Source organism: Homo sapiens, chromosome 12, assembly GCF_000001405.40.
Source record: "Homo sapiens chromosome 12, GRCh38.p14 Primary Assembly".
Lineage (NCBI taxonomy): Eukaryota > Metazoa > Chordata > Mammalia > Primates > Hominidae > Homo > Homo sapiens.
In genome coordinates, this window is record NC_000012.12 from 54,157,484 (window position 1) to 54,183,446 (window position 25,963).

At 50.2% G+C, this 25,963-nt stretch overlaps 1 protein-coding gene and 1 long non-coding RNA gene across 63 annotated transcripts in view, besides 2 other annotated features; one reads left to right on the forward strand and one right to left on the reverse strand.

Moving 5' to 3' along the window:
* SMUG1 (single-strand-selective monofunctional uracil-DNA glycosylase 1) overlaps positions 752 to 25,963 on the reverse strand; it is a 30,751-nt gene continuing 5,539 nt past the window's right edge. For 39 of the 62 annotated variants that reach the window (NM_001351259.2, NM_001243788.2, NM_001351242.2 and 36 more), the window contains one exon: positions 22,883 to 25,140. In NM_001351259.2, coding sequence (NP_001338188.1) covers positions 24,613 to 25,119 — 507 coding nt within the window. In that variant the 5' untranslated portion in view covers positions 25,120 to 25,140 and the 3' untranslated portion in view covers positions 22,883 to 24,612. Of the gene's footprint in view, positions 7,295 to 7,890; positions 7,996 to 14,541; positions 14,627 to 22,882; positions 25,141 to 25,963 lie in introns of those variants that run through there. The other 23 variants (NM_001243791.2, NM_001351239.2, NM_001351240.2 and 20 more) reach the window with 4 other exon arrangements.
* Positions 1,702 to 1,996: an enhancer, noted in NCBI's record as "tiled region #1237; HepG2 Activating DNase unmatched - State 12:CtcfO, and K562 Activating DNase unmatched - State 8:EnhW". NCBI's record gives its function as "activates a minimal TATA promoter and a strong SV40 promoter by Sharpr-MPRA in HepG2 and K562 cells {active_cell/tissue: HepG2 | K562}" and the evidence as "EXISTENCE:reporter gene assay evidence [ECO:0000049][PMID:27701403]".
* Positions 5,458 to 5,958: an enhancer, noted in NCBI's record as "H3K4me1 hESC enhancer chr12:54556725-54557225 (GRCh37/hg19 assembly coordinates)". NCBI's record gives its function as "activates a minimal SCP1, AML or CMV promoter by ChIP-STARR-seq in naive H9 embryonic stem cells {active_cell/tissue: H9 hESC(naive)}" and the evidence as "EXISTENCE:reporter gene assay evidence [ECO:0000049][PMID:30033119]".
* Positions 5,633 to 11,112, forward strand: LOC102724030 (uncharacterized). Its single transcript, NR_187804.1, has 3 exons — positions 5,633 to 5,725; positions 7,516 to 7,538; positions 10,803 to 11,112. It is a non-coding gene; the product is annotated as an uncharacterized LOC102724030 (long non-coding RNA).

A 25,963-nucleotide genomic window follows, 5' to 3' on the forward strand; every position in this document is an offset into this window, starting at 1 on the left:
GGCACCCAGGGCACTATAAAGGACAAGGGTGAGGGAGGGTCCACCCCACAGCCTGATGAGCTTAGGAGGACAGTGAGGAGTCAGGTGGGGGGGAATGAGGGGGCACTGCTGCTGAGGACAGCCCAACAATTTGCAATCCACGTAAACCCAGGGGTGGGGGTGATTGGGAAAAATGCCCTGGGAGACAAATAAAGATTGGCAGGGGACCATTCAGAAAAGGACTTACTGGAGCTGGGTGCAGTGGTTCATGCCTGTAATCCCAGTACTTTGGGAGGCTGAGGTGAGCGGATCACCTGAGGTCGGGAGTTTGAGACCATCCTGGCCAACATGATGAAATCCCATCTCTACTAAAAATACGAAAATTAGCTGGGCGTGGTGGCAGGCTGTAATCTCAGCTACTCAGGAAGCTGAGGCAGGAGAATCACTTGAACCCAGGAGGCAGAAGTTGCAGTGAGCCGAGATTGGGCCACTGCACTCCAGCCTGGGCGACAGAGTGAGAATCCATCTCAAAAAAAAAAAAGGACTCACTGGAACATGAGGAGCCTTCCTGCTGCCTTCCCCCCAACTCCCTTCCTCTCTATCCACACTGACTGACCCCTCAAGGTCTGCTTACCTGGACAACTGGTTTATTTTGTCCTCCTTTTGGGACCGGGGGTGGAAAGGGACTCAAGGTCCCCTTCCCCCTCTTCCTCAGCCAAGAGATCCCCCAAAATGGGAGGACTATGAGCAATGAATCCTGGTGGAGTTGTCATTACTGTGAGTTGCAATATCATTTAATAAGGATAGCAATTATCATAGCCACATCATCATAGCCCCTACCACCAGGAGAAGGGGGCTGGCAGCCAAAATGCCTGGTGCTACTCACCAGCTCTGTGCCCAACCCTTCCCTACTTTCCCTTCTTGAAACCTGCAGAATCCTAATTTTGGGATTCCTAGGATCTCAGAATCAGAAGAAATCTTGTAGTGGTCCCATTCCCAAACCACCTGTTTGCCTGCCTCCAGCCAGGGGCACTCACACCCACCAGGCATCCCATTGCACTGGGGTGTTGTTGAATACATGCCTCTGCCCCCTAACACCTCAGTGCCCCCGGGGAGAAGTCTGGAGGAGTTCCATCATCTTTACAATCCTGGGGTCTTCCTCATCCCTCCCCAAGCCAGGCCAGACCTGGAGCCTCCCACACTGATGTGTCACAACCTCCTCAAGCGTCCAGTTCAGTGTCACCCAACCCACCGCTCCAACAAATCATTCCAAGTTCTACCTCCAGCCCTCCTACTCTAACTCCAGCCTACTTCTGCAGCTATTTGCCACGAGCCACCCACCAGACAGGAAAATGATGATCTGATTCATCTTATAAAAAGCTTTCCAAACCTCTATCTCCACCTTTCTGTCTTTTGCTCAAGTGCACTTATCCCTGGCTGCCAGGAAGTTTGCCTTGATATTTAACCTGAATCTTGCCCTCTGTGGGATGGCCTTGGAGAAAGGTCATTCATTTAATATCCTATCCCAGTTTCCCAAGTCACTTATGATGCACTTTCTCCCTCTGTCAACCTTCCAGAAGCACTCCTCGCACTCCACACCCCAGGTTAGTGCCCCCACACCCTCCTCACCCTAGGGCAGTTCAGGGAATGCTGCCTGCCTCCAAGCCTGGCTGTAGTTCAGGTTGTCAGCCCCAGCCCCAGCCCCAGCCCCAGCGGAGGAGAGGGGTCTCATAACAGCCCGGCGTCGAGCCCCCAGCCCTCAGCCCTCACTGAAGAAGGAGGTAATTAGGAGCTGTGCAGTCCGTCCCCCAACAGGTAGAGCTGAGCAGCTGCATCCATCATCCAAGCAGCTGCCACAGAGCGGGAGGGTCACGTGGCTCGGCCGGACCAACAGGAGAGTGTGGGGAGGCCTCGGGCTGGGGATTGGCTGGTCTGCAGCAGGAGAGTCAGGGCTGTCGGGGACAACCTGAGAATGACCTTGTGGGGACTTCAGCACCCCTGGCGCTTCTCCTCCCCAGAAATCTCTCCACCTGCCCCCAGTTCCCAACTGAGGTCCTACCTGCCACTCTGGCCCTGGCATTTTCTCTTCCCCTTCAATGTCATTTATCTATGTGTAAGGGCCCCTCATATTCATTTTTAAAAGGAAAATGGTCTCTTGTGTACTTCATAGGTCTAAGTAGGATGTGGGAGGTAGTTTCCTGGCCTGAATAAGGGCTGATGATTCCATGAGGGAGAAAGGAAAGGAGGGAGGGAGGGGGCCCTGTGTGGATGGAGGAAGTGTCGGTGCAGGTGCATTTTTGTCTAATTGTCTGCACTAGTGCCAGGATGTGAGTGTGAAGGAGCATGTGCTGGCAGCCGTGTGCACTGCGCATCGGAGCATCAGCCAGGGCGCAGCCTGGGACGTGTTTTGCATACTTGCACTGACCAGGGTACATTACCACACTGCAGTGCACTTGGGCACAGATGGGCGTGTTGACCTTGTGCCTTCTTTGTGTGTGCACAGGCTCATGTTCACACATGTACACAGGTTGCTGGGCCTGTCCATGCACACTGACACAATGGGCTTTCACCTTGACAGTTTCTGACCCAGAGAGGGGAGCCCCTGAAACTCACCTGTGCCTGGGATCCTTCAGCACAGCACATCTCCCAGCTGAATGGGCAGGGACCCCCCCACCCCAACAGCCACAGGTCAAAGATGGCAGCTGGCAGGAAAGAAGAAAGAGAAAAGAGGAGGGGTGGCTCTGCCAACACCTGTGAAGGTTCTTCGTTATATATGCAAATGCCCTCATTAGAGATGCACAGCACTTCCCAGAGCTAATCGCTGCTGCTGCAGCAGGTTCTGTGTGGTGGGCTAAGGGAGAGAGAGGAGGCAGGACCACAGCCCTGTGGCTGGGCCGTGCCAGAGTTTCCATTCCTCAAGACCTGCTACCCTGGGCAGTCCTGAGGAGGGGTAGGGAAGAGCCCTGGCCAGGGGGAAGGCCTGCTATAGGCAGGCATGGTGCAATCTGCAGGCCACAGCACCAGGCCCTTGGCTCTGCCTGGGCAGGCTGGCCTGCGCAGAGCCCCCACTCCCATTCTGGGACAGGACTTGCCAGGAGGGTCGTAGGAGGAGTGCTACGGCCAACCACACACCCCACCCCTCTCTCCATCCACCACCTCTCCTTCCACGAAGCCCAAAAGTGAAGGTCTCTCTGGATCCTGGAACAGGTGGCCCTGGCCCCTGCCCCCCAAGGCCTCATTTCTTCCTTTTATCACCTCTACCATCGAACATCCAGAAAAGTAGTCTCACTGTGACCTTTTCTGTTACCCCAACCTTAGAGAAAGAATCCCGACTCTAGTCAAGCCGCACCCCCAACACTTGTCTCTCAGCCCTGCTGGACATCCATTTCGAGACCAGCCGTGGCTGGAGGCTGCCTTGTGCTTTTTCAACCTCACCGCCACCAGCGTGGCACCGGAGACAAACACAAACAGTAACACACAGTCAACTCATGCATGCCCTCAGAAACATGCAAACACTCCCTCTCCCCTCACAGGGCACACACTGTCCTGTTATATTAACGTGTCCTTAGACACACACCCACGATGAAAGAGTCCCACCAGCCTCCACTGTCCTTGTGCACATCGTCACCCCATTTTGGGGACAGAGTCCACAGAGTCCTCCCTTGCCCTACCCCCAACCTCTCCTTTCTTCGCTTCTCCCTCCCCCTCCCGCCCTCCTCCCTGGGCACCCGTTTGCCAGGGTTATTTATAGAAGCAAGCAATAAATTCAGTGTGTTTCTCGGCGCGCAAAGCTATAAATAATGGCACAGATCATTAAACCCCGAGAGCAGGCCCAGCCGCCCCGCAAACAAGATGAAGTACAAACCACCACGTGAGGAGGAGAGAGGGAGGTACAAGGCAGAGCCCCAGACCAAGGGCCAACAGGCCCCAGCCTGTACCTCTCAGCTGGGTCCCAGTGAACTTGGGCCTCCAAGGGGCCTTCCCCAGGCACCAGGGGAGGGCAGAGGGCAGGGCTGGGCCTGGACTTGCAGGATGCTCAACAGAGTTTGCCCTACCTAATTCCCACACCCCTCCTCTTGTACTCTTTCCCATCTCCCCAGCCTCTGCTTCTCTCTCCACTTCTCCCACTGTTCTTCCATCTTTGCCTATATTTTCTTCTAATTCTGTTCATCTCTCCCTTTCTCTCTCCATATTCCCGCCTCTCTCCTTTACCTTTTGCCTTCATCTGTCCCTCTACATCCACCTGTTCTTCTTTCCAGCCCTTCTCTTCCCCTACCCCAAATCCCTGGGCCTCAGGAGGGACCCTGATCCCACCAAGGAGCCCTCAGAGGCAGAAAGTCCCCTGTCAGCAGAACTCTGGAGCTGGCTGCTGATTCAGTGACTGTAATCTCCCAGGCGGAGGCGGCAGTGGTAGGGGGAGGGGGACAGGAAAGATAAATGAGGAGCATAAGAACAAAATGGCACAGACACTGGGGACAGGCTCCAGGCTGAGCAAGGTTCTGGGGAGCAGAACCAGAGCCCTGAGCTACAGCCCAATCCCACCACCGCAGGCTGGTCAGTTGAGTGCAGGAAGTGCTTTCTGGCTACCAGCAAGTGACAGCACCACAGGGGAGAACATGGCAAAGAGAAGGGAGCAGGGGACAGGCAGGGAGTGGCAGGGAGAAGCCACCAAAGGAGTCAGAGAAAGAGGGGAGGAAGCCAGAGAAGCAAGGAACACTGATAGAACAATGACCCCTCCAGTCCCACTGCACCCCCAGATCCAGTGTGGACCCCTGCAGTCATATCATATTCCTGAGCCAGGGCCACACATGGAAGGTTTGAGGGTTCCAACCACAGCTTCCACAAGTCTCACTTTTAGGGAGTACCTTTATCCTTCAGGGTTCTTCCACCCTGACTTTGGCCTACTTTTTGGAGGTTTCACTCAGCCTCCGCTCTAGGTCACCTACATTCTAGGTCTTTCATTCCTTTCCACTGAGAAGTTCTTAATTCCTGCTTCAGTCTGAGCCTCTCTCAGGAGGACAGAACCTACCTACATCCCACATGTATGGGATGGGTTTCCAGAAAACCACCCAAAGCTCGGCTCTTGGAAGGGTGATAAAACCCAGTATGGTAGTCAGTTCTCTCCTTCTCTAGTGATGTCAAGCAAAGAGACTTCAAATGGAGTAGCAGGTATAAGACTGAACATTAACCAGAACCTGCCGGCACTCAGCATCGGGAGATGCCAGGATGGGGCCGTCAAATCCTCTGAAAGTTGAGTGGCAACCCCATGGGCATGAACAAGGTGCAGCCTGGCTCTGTGGACAGGGGTGGACAAGAAAGCCCTGGAGCCACTGCCCCTGCCCTCCCCACCCCATGGCCAAAGTGACCATCTGCTCCTGCTCACTCCCCTGTTGGCAGCTTTGATGCAGAGCTTGGTTATTTGCCCAGGGATTTATAGTAGGAGCCAGGCCAGCAGCTAAATCCCCCAGCCATAGAGGTAAATCAGCTGCTGCGATGGGCCGGAACGAGGGAGCTGTCGGGCTAGGAGGCTGCACAGCAGAGCTGGAGAGGAAAACACTTGTCCCCACTCCCTGGGGGCAGCCACCAATAAATCCCCTCAGGCACCGATTAGGGCAAGTGGCCTACCAGATCTTGAGGGCTGTCAGTGCTGGTGGCAGACTTTACACCGCAGCAGGCAGTGCCCACAGAAATGGGCTTGAGGATGGACCACAAGAACTGCTCAAAGCACCTGGACTAGTAACAAGAGGTGAGGGACCAAAACCTGTTTTCCCAGGAACTGTGAAGCAGTGTGGCTGTTAGGCCAGGTTCCCTGAAGCCAAAGTGCCTGGGCTCAATCCTGGCTCTGCCACTTATTAACTATGTGACCACTGACATGTTATTTGACTTCCCTATGCCTCAGTTTCTTCATCTGTAAAATGGGGGTGAGAATAGTAGCTACTTCCCACAGTTACTAAGATGATTAAATAAAATAATATGCATAAAGTGCTTAGATTAGTGCCAGGCAATGTATCGTTAGTAGCACTGTCATATAAAATAAAGTCTTGAGACTAGGTTGAATCTGGACTTGTGCAGAGAAAAGAGAAGGGACCAAATGACCTTTGGAGGAAGCTGGGGGCGCCAAGATGATGTTTAAAGAAAGGAGGAGGGCTATGTTAGTCTCACTGGGAGAGAAAGTGAGACCAGCTTCTTCCAGGGCTGGAATCGACCCCTGTGGTTAAGAGCACAGGCTCCTTAGGCAAGCAGGCCTGCATTCAAGCCCCAATTCTGATTAACTGTGAGTTATTCAGCAAGTTATTTAATCTCTCAACTTTCCTCATCTGTAAAATGGGGATAATAATATTCATCTCATAGTATTATTGAGAGAAGTACATGAGATCATACACAGATAAGGCGTTTAGTAAGTGTTCATTAAATTTTAGTCTTGTTACTGCAATTATTTCATCAAGTGAACAAAGGAGGGCTTCACAGTGGGCCCTGAATCTAGGTGCTAAGTGCCCTGAATCCAAGCAGTATAACTGACAGGAAAGTGCTTTGTCAGAGAGGGAAGGCAAGAGAAGGGGAGGAAGGCAGGAGGTGAAGCCTGACCCGGGAGGCAGAAGGGGTTAGTAAGAAGAAAGAGACCCAGGAATGCAAGAGCAAGACAGAAACAGGCAGGAAGAGAAAAGATGGGGGACTTCCAGCCAGAAAGAGAGTAAAGGGGATGCCACAGAGATGGAGAAGGGAGAACTGGGGAGAGAGACAGAGGGGAACCCACTGGGGCAGAAATGGATGGCAGAGAAGGGGGGCACACGAGGGAGATGGGGATGGGGGAAACAAAGGTATAAATGAGCAGAGCCTCAGAGCAGAAGTCAGGGAAACGGAAGGGGAAGACTGGAGTCCAGGTGGCTGCAGGGAGTACTGAGGGGCAAAGTAAATGAGGGGCAGTGGCCAGGAGAAAAAAAAGAAGGAAAGAGACTGGAGCACCAGCTGAGAGACAAAGGAGGGAGAGCCCTGTCTGGAAAAACAGCAAGCCAGAGCCAGCACAGCTCGTTATGCAAACATGATTCCAGGCGCGCTCCGCTGCCCCCTCCCCAGCTTTCATTTTCAGCTTGGCTTCCCCCTGGCCTCCCTCCTGCGCCCCTCCTGCCAGCCTCTACTTTCTCTCCACTGAGCCTGAGGGCATACAAGCCAGCGGGGGAGGGGGAGGGGCTTGGACTCTGTTCACCAGGGGGTGAGGAGGGGAGGAAGGAAACAGTCCCCAAAGCAGAACAGAACCCAGGGGTCCACACCTCCTTCTGGCAGCTCCCCCTTCATCCGCATGAAGACAGGACAGTGGCTGAAAGAAGTGCAAGAGTGGAATAATAATAGTAGCAGTGAAAACATGAGCATTTTGCAGCCTGCAAAGTGTTTTACATGCCCCGGTCTCATAACAACCCTTGTGACGGAGGCAGTATTACCCTGTTTATTATCATCAAACAATTATATCATTCTGCTAAGAATGTCACATGTATTAACTGTCTTGCTCCTGACAACAACCCTATTATTCCCGTTTTACAGATGACAAGCTGAGGCCTACGATGGTAAGTACCTTCCATCCTACACCCCTCCCTCTTTGTTCCTCTGATCTCTCCTCCTGTCTTCCCTTGCCAAGCTCTTTCTATTCTCTCATCTTCTCATGTCCTCCCTTAATTCCCTTTCCAATCATGCTGCCTCAATAAACTTCAAGTTAGCTTTCTGTTCACTCTCATGGCAACCCCTCCAACCACCAGCAGGACCTGGTGTGACTGCACATGATCAGCAGACCCTTCGTTTTGGGGCCAGTTGTCAGGTAGCAACCCCTGAAAAAATCATACAGCAGCTGAAGTGAAATACAACAATGTCTTCAGAGCACTTTTACCCACATTCCTTCTAAAAAGATCTGAGATGGCCTACCGTATAAGACACAGATCGCCAGGTGTAGTGGCCCATGTCTGTAATTCCAACATTTAGGGAGGCCAAGGCAAGAGGATAGCTTCAGCCCAGGAGTTCCAGACCAGCCTAGGGAATATAGTGAGACACCATCTTTACAAAAAGTTTAAAAATTAGCCAGGCATGCTGATGCAGGACTATAATCACAGCTACTAGGGAAACTAAAGTGGGAAGACCCCTTGAGCCCAGGAGTTTGAGGCTGCAGTGAGCTATGATCATGCCACTACACTGTAGCCTGGGCAACAGAGTAAGACACTGTTTGTAAATAAATAAATAAATAAAATTAAAAAGACAGATATAACAGAACCATCGAAACACCCATGAAAGAACAAGAACAGATAAAGAAGTGAGGATTTTAAAATGTCCTGGGAAAAGAAACCCAAGAATGGACAGTTACTGCAGAGGAACCCAAAACTTAGCCCTCAGCTTCCTAGATGAAACCAGGTAGTAGCTTAAAAGCCTCTTCGCCTACACCAGAAATAAACTGAGCACCTACTATTAGTCATGCATCAAAGACATGATCAACATTGAGGACCTGGAATTTTCTATTCACTCTACAAGTGTGAGAAGATTTTGCCTGAAATGTCCTGGTCACATTTGCCACAGAACATTTGAAAGGACTCTGAGCTAAAAGAGCTTCAGAGCAGTGAGGAATATAAAAGTTGGAGCCCGGTGGAGCGCAGTGGCTCACGCCTGTAATCCCAGCCCTTTGGGAGGCTGAGGTGGGTGGATCATGAGGTCAGGAGTTCGAGACCAGCCTGGCCAACATGGTGAAACCCTGTCTGTACTAAAAATACAAAAATTATCTGGACGTGGTGGCGGGAGCCTGTGATCCCAGCTACTCGGGAGGCTGAGGCAGGAGAATTGCTTGAACCTGGGAGGCAGAGGTTGCAGTGAGCCTAGATCACGCCATTGTACTCCAGCCTGTGCAACAGAGCGAGACTGTGTCACATAAATAAATAGATAAATAAATGTCAGAGGCCATAGGACACAGGAAGAAGAACGGCCCACATGAAGTTGTCCCAGTGCTAGTCCCCCTCCCAGAACTGAGAAACTGAGTCTGAGATGTCAGTGATAGCCCTGTCCCCAAGCCCTTTCAGCCCCCTTCCCACTCCTAAATTGCCATTTGGGACTAAGTCCCTGCCAGCCAGTCTTGGTCTAGCCCTCCGTGTGATGCTGTGAGGGCTGCTCCTGGCTTCTCCTGCTTGTTAGCACATCAGCATGAGGATCATCAGGCACTGTAATAAATCAAATGAAAATAATCTCCCACACTCTCCCACAGAAACAAAATCTGCCCTCTCTGTTGACATAATTTCTGGCCTGCTGGAGGAATGAGTACAAGAGAGTGACCTCAGGCACAGGGGACAGGAGACACACAGGGAGGAAAGAGATGGATCCTTGTCAGGGAAAACCCCAGACTTGCAAGCCAGACTCCTCCCACAAATAATCACAAAATGCTGCCCCTTCCCAGCAGCCAGCCAAAAAATAGTCTCCACCCTCACACGCCTGTGTGTGAAATGCATAGGTATTAAACTTAAGTTAGTTCTTAGGAAGGCTGACACCCAGTCTGGCAAGCGCTGGAGATATCTAAGCAGGAAAAGCCTCCAAGCATCTGGCATTGGCAATATGTCCTAGGGCCCCCGCTCCAAGGTCAGGAGACACTGGAATTGCCTGGAGGGTGGGGGATTGAGTGGTGGGTGGAAATCAAACTGACGGACATTCCTAGGCAGCTGGGTCCCAGTGTTCACCAGCATGGACCAGTAATGATGTTACTAGCTCACCCACCATGAAAAATGGCCTCCTTATTTTCCCCTTCCTCTCCCTTGCCTGAGGCATAGTTTGTTATCAGGGGCTTCTAGTCTAAAACAAAACAAAAGAAAACCCTGGAGTTAGGACAGAAGCTCATAAAATTTTCCACTGAACAAAATTACTCTAGCTCTTTCCCAGAGGGAAAACAAAAAACAAACAAACAGGAAAACCTCACTCCAGCTCCCCCACAACCCAGGGACCACTCTTTCAATTTCAAAGCCTGACCAAGCCTCCAGGGAGTACAGACAGACCGACAAGAAGGGTCCCACCCAATAAGCAGGTAAATCAGTAGATGGCAAAGCCTTCCCCAGAAGCACCTCTCCCAGATACACGTCTCTCCTCATGGAACTCCAGTCCATGGTGCCCTAATGCATTCAGAAAAAAACTGCATTCACACCAAAGTACTGATTCCTCAAATAGGCATGCAAAGCCCTCCTTAATGCAGAACCACACTGAACTCCTACAGCTTTTCCTCCTACATCCTTCCTCCTCACCCCAGCTACTGGTCCCTTTATCGTTCAAGGAATATGCCCTGAACTATCCTGCTTCCAGCCCATTTTGTCTGGAATGACCTCTCCACCACTTTCCAAGGCCCCCATATGCTTATCAAAGCTCTCTCCATCCTCCTCTAAAGCCAGATTTAAATCCCAACTTCTTTTATTCATGCAAGATGTCTGCCTCCACTAGACAGGCCTCCTGTTCACCTGTGTGCTGACAGGTAGTCTGGATAATGTTCATGGAATTGAATGAAAACTCCAAACCTGTTCTCTGCCAAGTTTTCTTTTCTGTGACCCGTGGGGTTCATCAGGAGTAAGGAGGCCAATCAGGGACATGGAGATGTCAGTTATCTCCAGAGCCCCACCTCCCCAAGTCAGGGGTGAGGTCTTTGAGAGAGATGCTGTTGTGAGAGATGCTGCAGGTGCTTCTAGGCTTCCTGAGACCACTGACCTGGGTACCTCTCAGGGGCTTTAAAGGCCTTTAAACTAGTGACCTTGGACCTCCTCTTTCTTTGGTTCCTCTCTCCCTATTTCTCAGTCTCCCTCAATCTTCATCATTCTCTTTTTCAGATTTAGGCTGAGGATACCATCTGCCTGAGAGAACCCTCCTCTTGGAGTCTTGCTCCTCAAAATGTGACTTCAGAGCCAGCAGCATTGGCATCCCTGGAAGCGTGGTACCAATGCATTCTTGGACCTCAACTCAGACCTATTCAATCCAACTCTCCAGTTTAGCAAGATCCCCAGGTGATTTTTATGTACATTAAAGTTTGAAAGCAATACTCTAAAGAACCAGAAATGCCAGACCAGGGTCCAACAGGGAAACTGAATGCCTAAGACATTCATTCATTCATTTACCCATTCAATAAATACTTAATAAGCATCTACTGGGTGCACAGAGTTGTGCTAGGCATTGGGGATAAAATGGTGAATGACTCAGATTAGGTGTGCAGACTGCAGAGGATGAGATGAATGTTCCCTACCTGGCCTGTTTCAGCCCACCTCCCAGAGTTGGGGGGAGGGGCTTGAGTTGGGAACAGGGGTACATTTGACTGAAGAATCTCTCAAGACCCCAAAGCTGATGAGGGATGCTTTCCTCTCCCCAATCCAAAGACAGAGAATCAGTCAGTGAAAGCCAGAAGGGAAGGAAGAGTGAGAGCAAGGAAGAATGCTGAACAGAAGGAACCAGGGAAGATGGAAATGAGAAAAAGGGAGTCTAAGACAGTCCCCGAAAATACTTCCTGCCATTTCAGAAGCATACTCAACCATGCTCAGCTCACTGACTTCCTCTAGGCTAGCACAATGGCCCCCACCCCAACTCCCAGTCAGATTGCCTCCCATGAGAGGGAAGCACCCTCCACCCCAGGGTCTGAGAGGGGAGAAGACAGGTCACATCTGGGGGGAAATGACCAAAAGGCAGACAGATTGGTTTGAAGGACACAGGAATAGCAAGAAACACACAGCCCTAAGAGACAGTGCTGAGGGCTTCAGAGGAACATGACTGCTGTGTGGAGAATGGACTGTAGGGGGACACGCAGGGGAGACCAGTTAGGGGGCTGTCATGGTCAGCAGCAGAGGCAAGATAAACAGTGCATGGCTAGGACTGTACCAGTGGAGATTGTGAGATGATGTGTCAGAGTTGGGATATATTTGGATGATAAGGTCAATAGAACTTGCATATGAATGAGGGATGGGGAAGAGAGGAAAAGAGGATACTGACTCTCAGGTTTGGGGCCTGAGCTACTAGGTAGGTTAGGGCAATAAAAGGTGATCTGTCTGTCAGCAGTGGGTCAGGCTTAAAAAAAAAAAAAAAGTGATCTGGGGAGGGGTTCTGGAAGAATGAGTCAGGGTAAGGAAAAACCTAGGGCAGAGAATGGGAAAGAGGAGAGTCCATGTTGAGAAGTCATAAGAAAGGAAAGCAGAGATAGAGGAAAATGATGAGAAAATCATTCAAGAATCCTTAGTTCAAGTTTCTTGAGGGCAAAAATTGCATCTTCTGTTTCCACTGGGCACCTTAGAGTCCTCCACTGCTATTCTGCATGCTGTGAGTAAAATCAGGTACTCAGTAAAATCAGGTAATAGTACATCTGTGGCTTGTTGAGAGCTGATTCAAAAGGCAGGGTGGGCTGATATAAACAGCACTCAGCTATGTTTAGGGCCCTGGCCACCTAATGGCAGGGCGACATTAGAGAAGCTCACTGTTGGGCTGGGTACAATGGCTCATGCCTGTAATCCCAGCACTTTGGGAGGCCAAGGCGGGCAGATAACCCGAGGTCGGTAGTTCGAGACCAGCCTGACCAACATGGAGAAACCCCGTCTCTACTAAAAATACAAAATTAGCCGGGTGTGGTGGTGCATGCCTGTAATCCCAGCTACTCGGGAGGCTGGGGCAGGAGAATCACTTGAACCTGGGAGGCAGAGTTTGCGGTCCGGCGAGATCGCGCCATTGCACTTCAGCCTGGGCAACAAGAGCGAAACTCTGTCTTAAAAAAAAAAAAAAAAAGACAAAAAGAGAAGCTCACTGTTTCTCAGTTTCCCTAGCGGCAAAGCAGTAAAGGTGAACTAAGAGTTTCAGGTCCCATCTAGCCGCAGCTCTCTTTCCCTAGCTCTGGGACCATAATGCTGAGCTTCAGGAGTCCCTGTAGGTTCTTGAGCAAGCATGGCATGAAGTGGTCAGTGTGGCTGTTGTGTGGTGTTTGGAGGGGAATGAAGCAGTGGCCCAGAGAGTGGACTGGGACCATCTAGATATGGGCCAATGAGGGCCTGGCCACCAGGGCAGCTGGGAATGAAAAAGAATGATCAAGCCAAGAGCCCCGCACCTCTTCCCTAAAGCCTCCTCCCTGAGATGTCTCAGCATTTTTTTTTTGTACCTCCACAACTTTTTTTAGTTTTTGTTTTTTTTGTGAGACAGTCTCACTCTGTCACTCAGGCTGGTGTGCAATGACACAATCATGGTTCACTGCAGCCTCAATCTCCCAGGCACAAGCAATCCTCCCACCTCAGCCTCCTGAGTAGCTGGGACTACAGGTGCGTGCCACCACACTCAGCTAACTTTTTATTTTTTGTAGAGACAGAGGTCTCACTATGTTGCACAGGCTGGTCTCGAAGTCCTGGGCTCAAGTGATCCTTCCACTTCAGCCTCCCAAAGTGCTGGGATTACAGGTGTGAGCCACTGCACCTGGCCCCTTTTGTTTCTTAATCCCATGACAGATAAATGCACCTCTACAACTTCTAAATATTGCGGCGCCTAGACTCTGTCATTGGATGCCCTTCACTTTCTTTCTTTCTTTTTTTTTTTTTTGAGACGAAGTGTCATTCTGTCACCCATGCTGGAGTGCAGAGTCGTGATCTTGGCTCACTGCTGCAACCTCCGCCTCCCAGGTTCAAACATTTCTCCCTGCCTCAGCATCCCAAGTAGCTGGGATCACAGGCGTCCGCCACCACATCTGGCTAATTTTTGTATTTTTCAGTAGAGATGGAGTTTCGCATGTTGGCCAGGATGGTCTTGAACTCCTGACCTCAGGTGATCGGCCCACCTCGGCCTCCCAAAGTGCTGGGATTACAGGTGTGAGCCACCACGCCTGGCCACCTTCACTTTCTATCAGCTTTCACTCTTTAGGGGATCTCATCCAGTGTCACTGATTACTCCCAAATTTCTATCTCCAGTCTGGACTTCACCATTAAACTATAGACTTGTGGTCGGGCGCGGTGGCTCACACTTGTAATCCCAGCACTTTGGGAGGCCAAGGTGGGCAGATCACGAGGTCAGGAAAATGAGACTATCCTGGCCAACATGGTGAAACCCCGTCTCTACTAAAAATACAAAAATTAGCTGGACGTGGCAGCGCGTGCCTGTAATCCCAGCTAGTCCGGAGGCTGAGGCAGAATTGCTTGAACCTGGGAGGCGGAGGTTGCAGTGAGCTGAGATCATGCCACTGCACTCCAGCCTGGCAACAGAGCTAGAGTCTTGTCTCAAAAAAAAAAAAAAAAAAAAAAGCTATAGACTTGTGTATTGATTTACCTGCTAGCCTCCTCTACCTGGATGCTTAACAGGTATCTCAAAGCTAACATGTCCACAACTAATACTACTCCCAAAACCAGCTCCTCCTGTGGTATTTCCCCATATCAGTTGATGGCAAATCCATTGCTGTGGTCACTCGGGCCAAAAAATCTTGGTCTTATCCTCTACTCCTCTTTCTTTCATACGCTCTCACTAATCCCTTGGCTCTCCCTGCAAAATGTATCAAAAATTTGACCACTCCTCATCACCTCTGCTGCCATCTCCCTGGTCCTGGCCCTCATCCCCTCTTACCTGATACTGCAATCAGCTCCTGACTGGTCTCCCTGCTTCTGCCCTTGTTTTCTCAATCTGTTCTCAATACAGCAGCAAGAATTTTCTGTAAAAAGACAAGGCAGATCATGTCACTCCCTTGCTTGAAACCCTGCAGTGACTTCCCATGTTACTCGGAGTGTGAGTTTTACTGTAACTTATTAGTTTCTACGTGATGTGGCTCCCCATCACCTCTTAGATCTCATCACTTATTCTCTTCCCTGATTTTCTCTGCTTCAGCCATATCAGCCTCATTGCTGTTCTTCCAACACACCAGACATGCTCACATGAGGGCTTTTGCCCTCGCTGTTCTCTTAGCCGGGAAACTCTTACCCGGAAATCTGTATGCCACGTAGCATCTGCTAAACTGCAGCTCCATATGTTGGGGCGCCTGAGCAGGGATAAGAAAGGGAGTGAACTGAAGAGGAAACAATGGAGTCAGGTCCCGCACAAGAAACAAAATGCCCGCCTTGCTTCCTCTGTCTTCCTCAGGTACCTGGCTTCAGGAGCTCAGGTGGGGGGTCTCCTGCGGGGCAGGGGGGACGTGCCCCACTCTAGTTCTTCAGAAAATACCCATCTGCATCCTAACCTCAAAAGATCCTGAAGCCCTGAAGGAATCACATCTCTCTGGTGCTCCTGCAGACCTCCCAAAAAGGAACCACTCCCCTGACCCCGAATGTGGTGGTCCTCCCTGCTCTGCTCCTAAAGGATGTAGGGAAGAATGGGTCTCTTCCAGTCATCCACTCACCACATATGTATTCCTCCCGTCTCCCGCTGGGCCTAGGCCCAGCCAGGGTAAGCCCACCACCTGCTCCCACTCTTCTTAACTTAGCTTCCCTTCCTTTCCTCCTCGGCCCTTTCTAGCTGTTCCCAGTCTGCAGGCCTTCCCCACGGGCACACAGGTGGAGAAAGGCTGAGGACTCAGCGGACAGCCTGGTGTGGTGGGGTCTCTAAGTCATGGGGAGAAGGCAAGGCGGCTTGAAGGGAAGGGTTTGAAGGTGGAAGGATGCAGAAGGCCAGAGACAAGAAGACGGGAGCAAAGACAGCCAGAAGCTGTGATGATACGGTGATACAGAGAGAAGTGGAGGCAGCATCGGCCAGAACAAGGGGTCAAAGTCAGAGGCAGAAACAGCAGCGAGAAAAGCAAAAGCTGACAGATGGCAGAAGCCACAGACAGGCAGCGCAAGGGAGAGGCAGACACCCAGCGAGAGAGCAAACGGGAGAGGCATCGTGAGACGCGGGAGCAGCTGGAGAGGGAGGTTAGGGCGAGGTGCATGCACCCCAAGAGATGGAGAAACAGAGACCAGAGCGAGAGACACGCACGCGGACAGACCAGAAGGCTGCAGAGAGGGCGAGGGAGAAAAAAGTGTCGAGGCGGGGAGTGGCGGGAAGCGGCCGGGAGCGGGGCGGGCGCAGCAGAGCGGGCGCGGCGCCGGGAGCTGGCTCGTAAAAGCCGCGTCGAGCGGGGAAATTACCGCCAGAATCGCTGAGCTCCACAAAACGCCGCCCGCGCGGCCCGCCGCCGAGCCCGCTCCAATCTCCAGCCTCATCGCCGCGCGGGCTGGTTATGCATTTAAATGTTATTTAATTGGATTGCGGAGGAGCTGGGGGCCAGAGCGGCCGCCCGCCCCCGCCCCGCACGCTCCGCACGCCCGGGCTGCTCGCCTCCTCTGCAAATCTGTTTTCCAAGTCACAGATTGCAGCACGCCCCCTCCCAAAACGCTCCCCCCACCCAGACAGCTCCCCTTCGAGTCTGGGCTCCTTCTTCTGTTCCCCCGCCCAAACAGAGCCAGAGGACACTCAGAAAGACACGACAAGCCCCCCGAAGATGCCCCAAACACAGAGGCTACACAAAAATACCAGACACACAAAGACACAACAGCAGCAAAAATGGGTCACACTCAATTACACTAGTGTCCATCTGGAAGACTGAAAACTGCAGAGACAAAAAAGATCCCATGATCACAGGAGGACACAAATGCATGTAATACAGTGGACTCCCACTCTAGGGGAACACACTACCCTACCCCTTAAAACGGTACTTGCAAAGCAGCGCTACCAAACACAGGAACAAAATGATGCTAACTCAGTGATTCACAGGGGACACACAGACCTTCCATACAGCCAGGTAAGGAGCAAAACACATCCACACTCATGCTCAGAGCAAAGTCATCACACCCCAATCACTCAGCTGTGTGGCCTTCCAGGGTTGAAGGCAAACCCCTTCCTTCAAAGACATTTTGTTCTTCTCCCAAGCCACAGAAGTATCATCACATGAGGTTCTGAGAGGGAGCTATAAGTCAGCAGGTTTCTAAAAACTGAACAAAAAAACAACCCAAATTACAGCAGATAGGCTGGAGGGTAGATACCAGAAAGAGCTTCTGAAGAAGACAAAGTGTGAGATCCCAAGAGGAGAGGCTGGGCATTTGTGTGAAGTTGGGATTCTCTCAGTCAACTGTTGACAGGAGACCCTTTTTTGCTGCCTGAATCAGGTGTTAGCACCATCCAGGTAGATGGAAGGACAGAATGACCTGCAAAAACATGTCCTCCACATACTCCTAACCAGCGGACAGGAAATTGCTGGCCTGAAAAGATCAGGGTCAAGCTGCTTCAATTAATGAAAATGGAAATGGCAACCTGGCTTGGCACAGGCCACCATGGAGGACTGTTCTGGGCTCTCAGCCATCCCTCCTGCAAGCCAGGACTAGAGACAGACATCAGGCTGAGGGTCCTTGAATGAGATGTAGGGGCAGAAGAATGGACAAGATGTACAGGAAAATTCTTTTGCAGGTGTTTTGTTTGTTCTGTTTTGTACTTGAGAGGGTGAGGGCCAAAATAAGGAGGGAGAGAAAAAAAGAAAGTTTCCTCAAATACATTATAATTCAACCTTGACTGGTGAGCATGGGCTTGAGCCAGGCTGGCATTAAGGTCTCTGAAGAAGAAAGCAATTCATCTTCCCCCAAAGTAATTTATTTCTATATCACCTGATGGTCACAGCTGGGAAGTTTATCCATGTGTCTAACCTCAATGTCTCATGCTCCAGTTGAAGTTCTTTACTTCTCTGGGGCACCAGGGAAGAAGAGGAAACAGCTGCCCTATATCCTCCTAAACAAGAATATTCAGAGTCAACACTTAGTCTGGGATAGGCTGCAATCTCTATTCCCTTCTTCCATTCCATCACTAGCTTCTCTACCCCAGCTGTGGCCAGGCTGCATTTCCAGTCTTTTTTGATCTGCTACCTGGACATTGCCTGCCACCATCTGCTGCAGTTTTCCATCCCCAAAGTTAACAGATGTGTTCTGAAAGGAAGCTCCACTTCTCATCTTCCATAGGGCCACACCCAACCCTTGGCTCTTGCCTAATTCCTGGCCTCTGAGCCCCTCCCCTCATCCTGTTTCCTAGCCCCTTGCAGTTGGGGCTGAGAAATTCCTGGACATATCTGACACAATGGTCCCGTTTTGCAAATATCCACTCCATGGAGGTGGTAAGATTTAGCAAGTTATGAGATAAGAAATCTCCCAGTCTCCGCCCTCTCTCACAGGCACACACACCTCCTCCCCAGACTCTGAGGGCTAATCACTTCCTCATTCAGTGTGCCCAGAGCGCTGTGTTTATAACTTGTTCACAACATGCTTTCAGCTTGATTTATATATAATTATATGCCTGTATCTCCCAGCACTAGACAGTGAACAACGTGAGGGTAAAGAATCATCTAATTCACCTCCGTCACTCCCTACAGTGCCTAGCACAAGGAATGACACACACACAGCAGACATCAATAAATGTTTATTGAATTGAAAAAGGAAAGTGAGACCACACAGTGGCCAAATTCAAGACCCAATTTTCTTTAAGCTATCCTGTATCAGTAAGGGAGAAAAAAAAAGACAGAGATAAAAGGCCGGGGCCAGGCACAGTGGCTCACGCCTGTAATCCCAGCACTTTGGGAGGCCAAGGCAGGCACATCACCTGAGGTCAGGAGTTCAAGACCGGCCTGACCAACATGGAAAAACCCCATCTCTACTAAAAATACAAAATTAGCCAGGCATGTTGGCACATGCCTGTAATCCCAGCTACTCAGGAGGCTGAGGCAGGAGAATCGCTTGAACCCGGGAGGCAGAAGTTGTGGTGAGCCAAGATCACACCATTGCACTCCAACCTGGGAAACAAGAGCAAAACTCCATCTAAAAAAAAAAAAGGCTGGGCATGGTGCCTCATGCCTGTAATCCCAGCACTTTAGGAGGCTAAGGTGGGAGGATTGCTTGAGTTCAGGAGATAGAGACCAGCCTGGGCAACATAGTGAAACCCCGTCTCTACAAAAAATTAGCCAGGTGTGGTGGTGCATGCCTATAGTCCCAGCTACTCGGGAGGCTGAGGTGGGAGGACACCTGAGCCCAGGAAGTCAAGGCTGCAGTGAGCCATGATCATGCCACTGCACTCCAGCCTGGGAAAGAGAAGAAGATCCTGTCCCCCCCCAAAAAAAAAGGCCGGGCACGGTGGCTCATGCCTGTGATCCCAGCACTTTGGGAGGCCGAGACGGGCGGATCACAAGGTCAGGAGATTAAGACCATCCTGGCTAACACGGTGAAACCCCGTCTCTACTAAAAATACAAAAAAATTAGCCGGGCGTGGTAGCGGGCGCCTGTAGTCCCAGCTACTCAGGAGGCTGAGGCAGGAGAATGGCGTGAACCCGGGAAGCGGAGCTTGCAGTGAGCCGAGATCGCGCCACTGCACTCCAGCCTGGGCGACAGAGCAAGACTCCGTGTCAAAAAAATAAAAACTAAAAAAAAAAAAAAAAAAAGAGGTAAGAAAATTCTCTTTCTTCACCAACACAATCTATCCCTCAGAAGCTCAGAAGCATCCCCACCCCAAGCACACCCTTGGTCTCCACCAAGTTGAGTTTGTGTGTTTTGGGGTGGGACCTCCATCATTCCTCTGAATCAGAACTTGAAATACCATCACTAGGCAAAAAGAACAAACTCTAGAGAAACTAGTGTTTCTGGATGGCACACGGGTAGCTTTCCCAGACCAGATTCATGCATTACTTCCATGTCTGCTCTGAATACCTACTTTGTGCCAGGTGTGGGATTACATACTGGGAAAAGAAAAAGGAGACCCTGGCCTTTGCCTTCAAGACACTCAGGACACTCCTGCCTGAACCTTGGCTGCATATTGGTAGCATGGAGAGATTCTGTTGAAGACGGATAGCAGGATGCCCCTCGCACCTCACAAATCAAAATATCTTAAGTGGAGCTGAGACACTTGTTTTTTTAAACCTCCACCGGTTAATTCGGATTCACTGGCAGGGTTGTAAGCCACTGATCTCTAGATCAGTGTTGTCTAACACAAATTTCTGTGATAATGGAAATGTTCAATTTCTGTGTCATCCAATCAGTAGTCACTAGCCATGTGTGGCTATTGAGCACTTGAAATATGAACTGAAGAATTGAATTTTTTTCCTTAATCACTTTGAACTAAAACAGCCACACATGGCTAGTGGCTACTGTATTGGTCTACAAAAGTCTAGATGACACCAAATTATTTCAGTTTGGCTTTAGAATAATTCTCACAATGCTGTTTTATAGCAACTAAAGGCTCCATTCTCTACCACTCAGAGAAAAAAAAAAAACAATGACTTTCCTTTCCCTAAGGACACTCTCATTTGCACTGAAGAAACTGCTCTAGAATGAAGGGTAAAAGCCAGTCTGATGAGACTAAGTCTGATCAGCTACCTAAGCCCCTAGACCAGCTTCCAATCCTCCAGACTGGAAAAAAGGCACTCCTAAGTACCCTAGTTTGTTTATGGTTGACATTGGTTGGGGACAAAAAAAGCAGTGACATGACTTTGTGTGCCTGTTATAGACTGAATTATGCCCCCCTGCCGATTTGTATGTTGAAGCCCCAATATGACTATATTGGATATAGGGCATTTAAAGAGGCACCTAAGGTTAAATTGGGTAATAAGGGGGGACCTAATCCAGTACAACTGGTATCCTTCCAAGAAGAGAAACACCAGGGAGGTACATGCTCAGAAAAGGCTATGGGAGGACACAGCAAGAAGGCAGCTATCTGCAAGCTAAGGAGAGGCCTCAGGAAAGATCAAACCATCTTGATCCTGGACTTAACGGGCTCCAGAAGTGTCAGAAATTTCTGTTGTTTTAATCCACCCAGTCTGTGGTAGTTTTGTCATGGCAGCCCTAGCAGTGTAATACAGTGTCCTTAGGGAAAGGCAGGCCCAGGACCTTAATCAACCTCTCCGACAAGATGCACCCCAGGAATTGAAAGCAACAGCCCCACTAGGACCCAGACCCAGCAGCGACTCTGCCATACCCAGGCCTTCAAGTCATTCTGGTCACTACTGTTCAAGTGCCTCTGTGTATTACCCAATCCTATCCCACTATCTCATCACCTAGAGACCCCAACTCTAGGCTTTCAACCAGACCTGCTATGCCCCTAGATGTCCTCCCTATAGACTCATCCCCTCTCTTCCCATCCCTTTCCCCACTGCACCCACACTGCCTCCTACATGGTTTGCCCCTTCATCTCCTTCTATGGGTTTCCACCTATTGTTGGGTATTTTCAGTGTGTGTGTTCTGTGCATCTCACTTCCCCCACTACACTTTAAATTCTCAAAGATTATTCTAGCATTCAAGACCCTTCACAGGCTAGCTTCAATCTACCTCTTCATCTTTTTCTCCAAACTGGGCCAAGCCAATAGGAATCTACTTGTGTGTTGGTAAATATTAACTGTCAACTTGATTAATGGATGCAAAGTACTGTTTCTGGGTATTAGCAGAAGAGATTAACATTTGAGTTAGTAGACTGGGAGAGGAAGACCCACCCACAGGAAAACCCACCCAGAATGTGGGTGGGCACCATCCAACTGGCTGCTAGGGCGGCTAGAAAAAGCGGGCAGAAAAAGGTGAAAGAAGCTGACTTGCTGAGTCTTCCAGTCCTCATCTTTCTCCCATGCTGGATGCTTCCTGCCCTCACACATTAGACTCTTAAGTTCTTCAGCTTTTGGACTCTTGGACTTACACCAGTAGTTTGCCAGGGGCTCTTGGGACTTAGGCCACAGACAGAAGGCTGCCCTGTCGGCTTCCCTACTTTTGAGGATTTGGGACTCGGACTGAGCCACTACTGGCTTCCTTGCTCAACTTGCAGACAGCCTATTGTGGGACTTCGCCCTGTGATCGTGTGAGTCAATTATCCTGAATAAACTCCTTTTCATATATACATGTATCATTAGTTCTGTCTCTCTAGACCCTAATACAACTTGCCACCCCTTGAACATAACAGTGCTGTTCTCTAAGTTATCCAAAACTTTCCCAGTCTTAAGGCCACCTGAAATGCCACCTCCTCCAGAGAGCTTTCCATTATATATTTCCTCAGCTAAATATATAATGAAATGATGGCTTCTATCTCTGTGCAGTTATTCCACTGTACCTAATCCAGTGCTCTGCAACATGGCGCACTCACTACGTAGCACTGACAGCAAAAAGAGAAGGAAAGGAGTCTATGGCATGTGGAAGTTCAATACTGTAATGCAATTCTGATGCTAACTACAGGGAGTTAGTGCATACCCTCGGGGTTTAAGGGCATACTCCCCACCAAGACTGCTCTCACTTCAGATGTCAGTTGCGAGCTTGAGGATCCCCAGACCACCTGCACTTCTGACCAACTGGCTATAAATTCAGGAGTCTCCACAACCCCCCGCCACCCACCCTGAGGTTGGAGAATTTCCTAGAATGACTCACGGAACTCAGGAAAACTCTATACTTATGATTATGGTTCTATTACAAAAGATACAAATCAGAACCAGCCAAATGAAGACAAATATATGGTAGGGTCCAGGAGTGTCCCAGGCACAGATGTGTGCCCTCTGCTCATAGAAACAGGATACCAATGCACATCCCTCAGCACATCCATGTGTTCACCAGCCAGGAAGCTGACCAAAACCTGTGTCAGAAGTTTTTATATCTAGAGTTTTACCATAGATATAATTGGTTAAAATCATCGGCATGTGGCTGAACTCAATCTCTAGCCCCTCTCCCCTCCCTGGGGATCAAGCTGGTATCATCCAGCTCAAAGTCCCAGCCCTGTAACTATATGGTTGGTCATTCTGGCATGGTCAGCCTCCATCCTCAGTCAAATCTTACAGCAAACTCAGGTGTGGTCTGAGATCAAATTCAATATAAAATTAGGTGCAGCCTAAGGTCAAATCTCAACATAAATTCAGGTGTAGTTTCAGGGACCTGCCACGAAAAACAAAGATACTCCTATTACTTGGGAAATTCCAAGGATTTAGAGTCTCCTTCTCAGGAACTGAAGACAAAGGCCAAATTCTTTATTATACAATGAAGTAGGGGAGGATTTATATGAAAAATCTTACTAATTCTGGAAGCTGGAAATGACCTGTGTCCCAGGAGATAGGAAGTAGACCATGTGTTCCTCATTAAGGTGGTCTCAAGACCTGCTCTGCTCCCAACTTGGTTCACTTTCCCAGCCCTTACCAAAGGGGCACCCAGTCAACCATTCAGCAGACATAAAAAATGAGTTGGATACCAGGTTCCCATCTGCCCCATCACCTGTTTCTCACGGTGTCCAGAGTATCATATAAGACCCCTAACAGACACTTAACAGAGACCCTGCAGGTTTGGTAAGGCAATTGGAGATCTGCTACATCCAGCCAGGCAGCAGCACTTTGGGAGGCCAAGACAGGTGGATTACTTGAAGTCAGGAGTTTGAGACCAGCCTGGCCAACATGGTGAAACACTGTCTTTAATAAAAATACAAAAATTAGCCAGGCGTGGTGGCACATGCCTGTAATTCCAGCTATACAGGAGGCTGAGGCAGGAGAATCACTTGAACCGGGAAAGCAGATGTTGCAGTGAACTGAGACCATGCCACTGCACTCCAGCCTGGGCAACAGCATGAGACTCCATCTCAAAAAAAAAAAAAAAAGAGAGATCTACTACATCCTTCCCCCAGCTGCCCAAGAGAACCCCTGGCCAACAATGAAGAGGGAAGAGGGGGGAAATCTAAATGACTACCTTCCACCTCTAGCATGCAAGAGGGGGAAAAAAGTAACAAGACAAAAGGCTTTAGGAGCTCTTAATGCTTAGAGTGAAAAAAAATCACAGGCTAGTTTTTTCATAGTCATTGATCCATCTCTGACATGGCAAGAATTTTCCCTTCACCCTGGCCGCAGGTGGAAGCCCAGACTCTCTCCTAGCAAGGTATCCAGAATGGAGAGGGGCTACCCTTGTAGTGCAGTGCTGTGAATCCTCAACCCAGAGGCAAGAAAACAAGAAGACTATGTAATGAGCACCCACATGCCAAGCCCATGCAAGGCACTTTCAAGTGTGATCTCAGTTAATCCTCACACCAACCCCATAAGGTAGGCATCCCTGTTTTACAGATGAGGAGCCTGAGGCATAGAGAGGTTTATTAATTTGTCAATCAAAAAGTTCCAAGTTTCAAAGCTGGGATGAAAAGCCAGGTCTTCTGACTTGCACTCTGTCACACTGGATTTTTCCTCTGATCCAGCTGCAGCCTCCCATAAGAAGTTCACTCTTAATTTCATGTCCCATGCTTTGTCTTGGTCCCTGTGAGGAAAGGGGTCAGCTAAAGGTAACTGTTCTATAAGGATGGGTAGGTATCCTGGCAAGATATTTCCTCTGAAATAGTAAACGTGACCTTAGAAGTTACTGTCTAGGGCACTCTCAGCTGAATAAAGTCTCCCAAGGAAACACTGAGGTAGAGCAGTCTGCAAGTGCAAAAGCACACCTTCTGCAGATTCCCTACAAAGTGGGGTCCCCTGAAAGGGGCAATGTTAAAAGGTAAAGAAAGCAGGAATCAGGAGGGCAAACAGGAGTAGTGTCAAAACTGCCATGGCAGGTTGGAAGACAGTTCAACAGATCAAAGAATACGTTTCCCAGCGACCAGGGTGCACAGAAGGACCTTTTGCTCCAGTCCAGGAGATGTGTTGTCATCTGCTTGGCCAAGAATGACTTCGAGGTCTTGAATGTGTCCCATGCAAGGCCCCAAGGGCACTCATTTCAACAGCAGTGGCAGCAGCCCCAGCTCATTCAATCTTTCCTTGGCCACTGCCTCCCAGCCCTTGTTGGCCTGTGGGTTACGGGGAGAGGGATGCAGGAGCCCTTCCACCTGGACCTCTGGCATCAGGCCTGCCAGAGCCCGTCGTGCCCGCTGCTCTGCCAGTCGCCCAACTCCCACCACCAGCCGCACCCCCAGCAGCTGCACCTGCCGGCAGAGGGCTGCATCACAGATCCCAAGAAGCTGTTCTCGCTGCTTGGCAGGCAGCTCAGCAGGAGTAAGGTTGCGCCCGCTGGGAGCCAGGAAAAGCAGAGGGCATAGATTGTGGACAAAACAGTGATGGAAGAAGACCTCAGGCTGTCCACAGAGGTTCCGGAAAAAGCCCCAGAATCGGGCACCACTCACTTCTGACTGTGGGCACTCCAGTCCCAGCACTGGTCGTTTAGGATGCTCTTGGGGAGGGGTCAGCACAGGCCCCACAATGCCCAACCAGTCCCGGACCATGCTTACTTCCCCAAAGGGCACCTGTGAGGAAGGAGAGAGACATGAAAGGCTTCAAACTGGAGACCTGAGGCCCGGGCTCTGGACCAACTGACTTCTTTATACCTTACATGAGGATCCAGCCTGCACCCCCTACCCCTACCTTCACCCAAAGGCCTGAGACAAGGATTCTTGGCCCTATGGTTTGAGCCTGTCTGTCTTTTTCCAGTTCTTCATTGTGAACCGTGGTCCAGAAGAATTTGTTTCCCTCTAGCCCAACTAGCCTTTGGGACTAAGTACAGGGACTACATTGAGATATCTAGCCCTACACAGGGTTTGATGGTTAGTACTGGGGACAGACAGATGGTCTGAGACAGAAAGGCAGCCAGGGTTAAAGGAGGCACAAGGATGGGCTGACCACTGCTGTCTGGATGCCCTCTCAGCCCCAAGCCTCAGGCTGTCATTTCCATCGATCATCATTGATCACCTTTCATCACCCAGTTGGGGTCAATAAAAGCGATTGAGCCTTCTGCCCTGAAGCCTCTTCCCCTCCCCCACCTGCCAAGCACCCCCACTGGGGGCAGTCACTCATCCTGAGCCCTGAAAGAAAAGCGGGCAGGCACTGGAGCCAGGCTCTGTTTTGAACCTCGCCTTAGCTAGGAAACAGAACCCAGGTTCCCAGAACGCCCTGCATCTCTTACATACCCACCCCTGTCAACCAGTCTCTTCTGAGGACCCAGCAGTCCTAGTCCCTCTTCTGACCCCAACCACACTTCAGGGACAGGGGAGATCCAGTAAAGTAAGGATGGGGCTGGCGGAAGGAAGGGCTCTCAGAGGCAATTACTGGCCAGCTCACAGGGAAAACGAA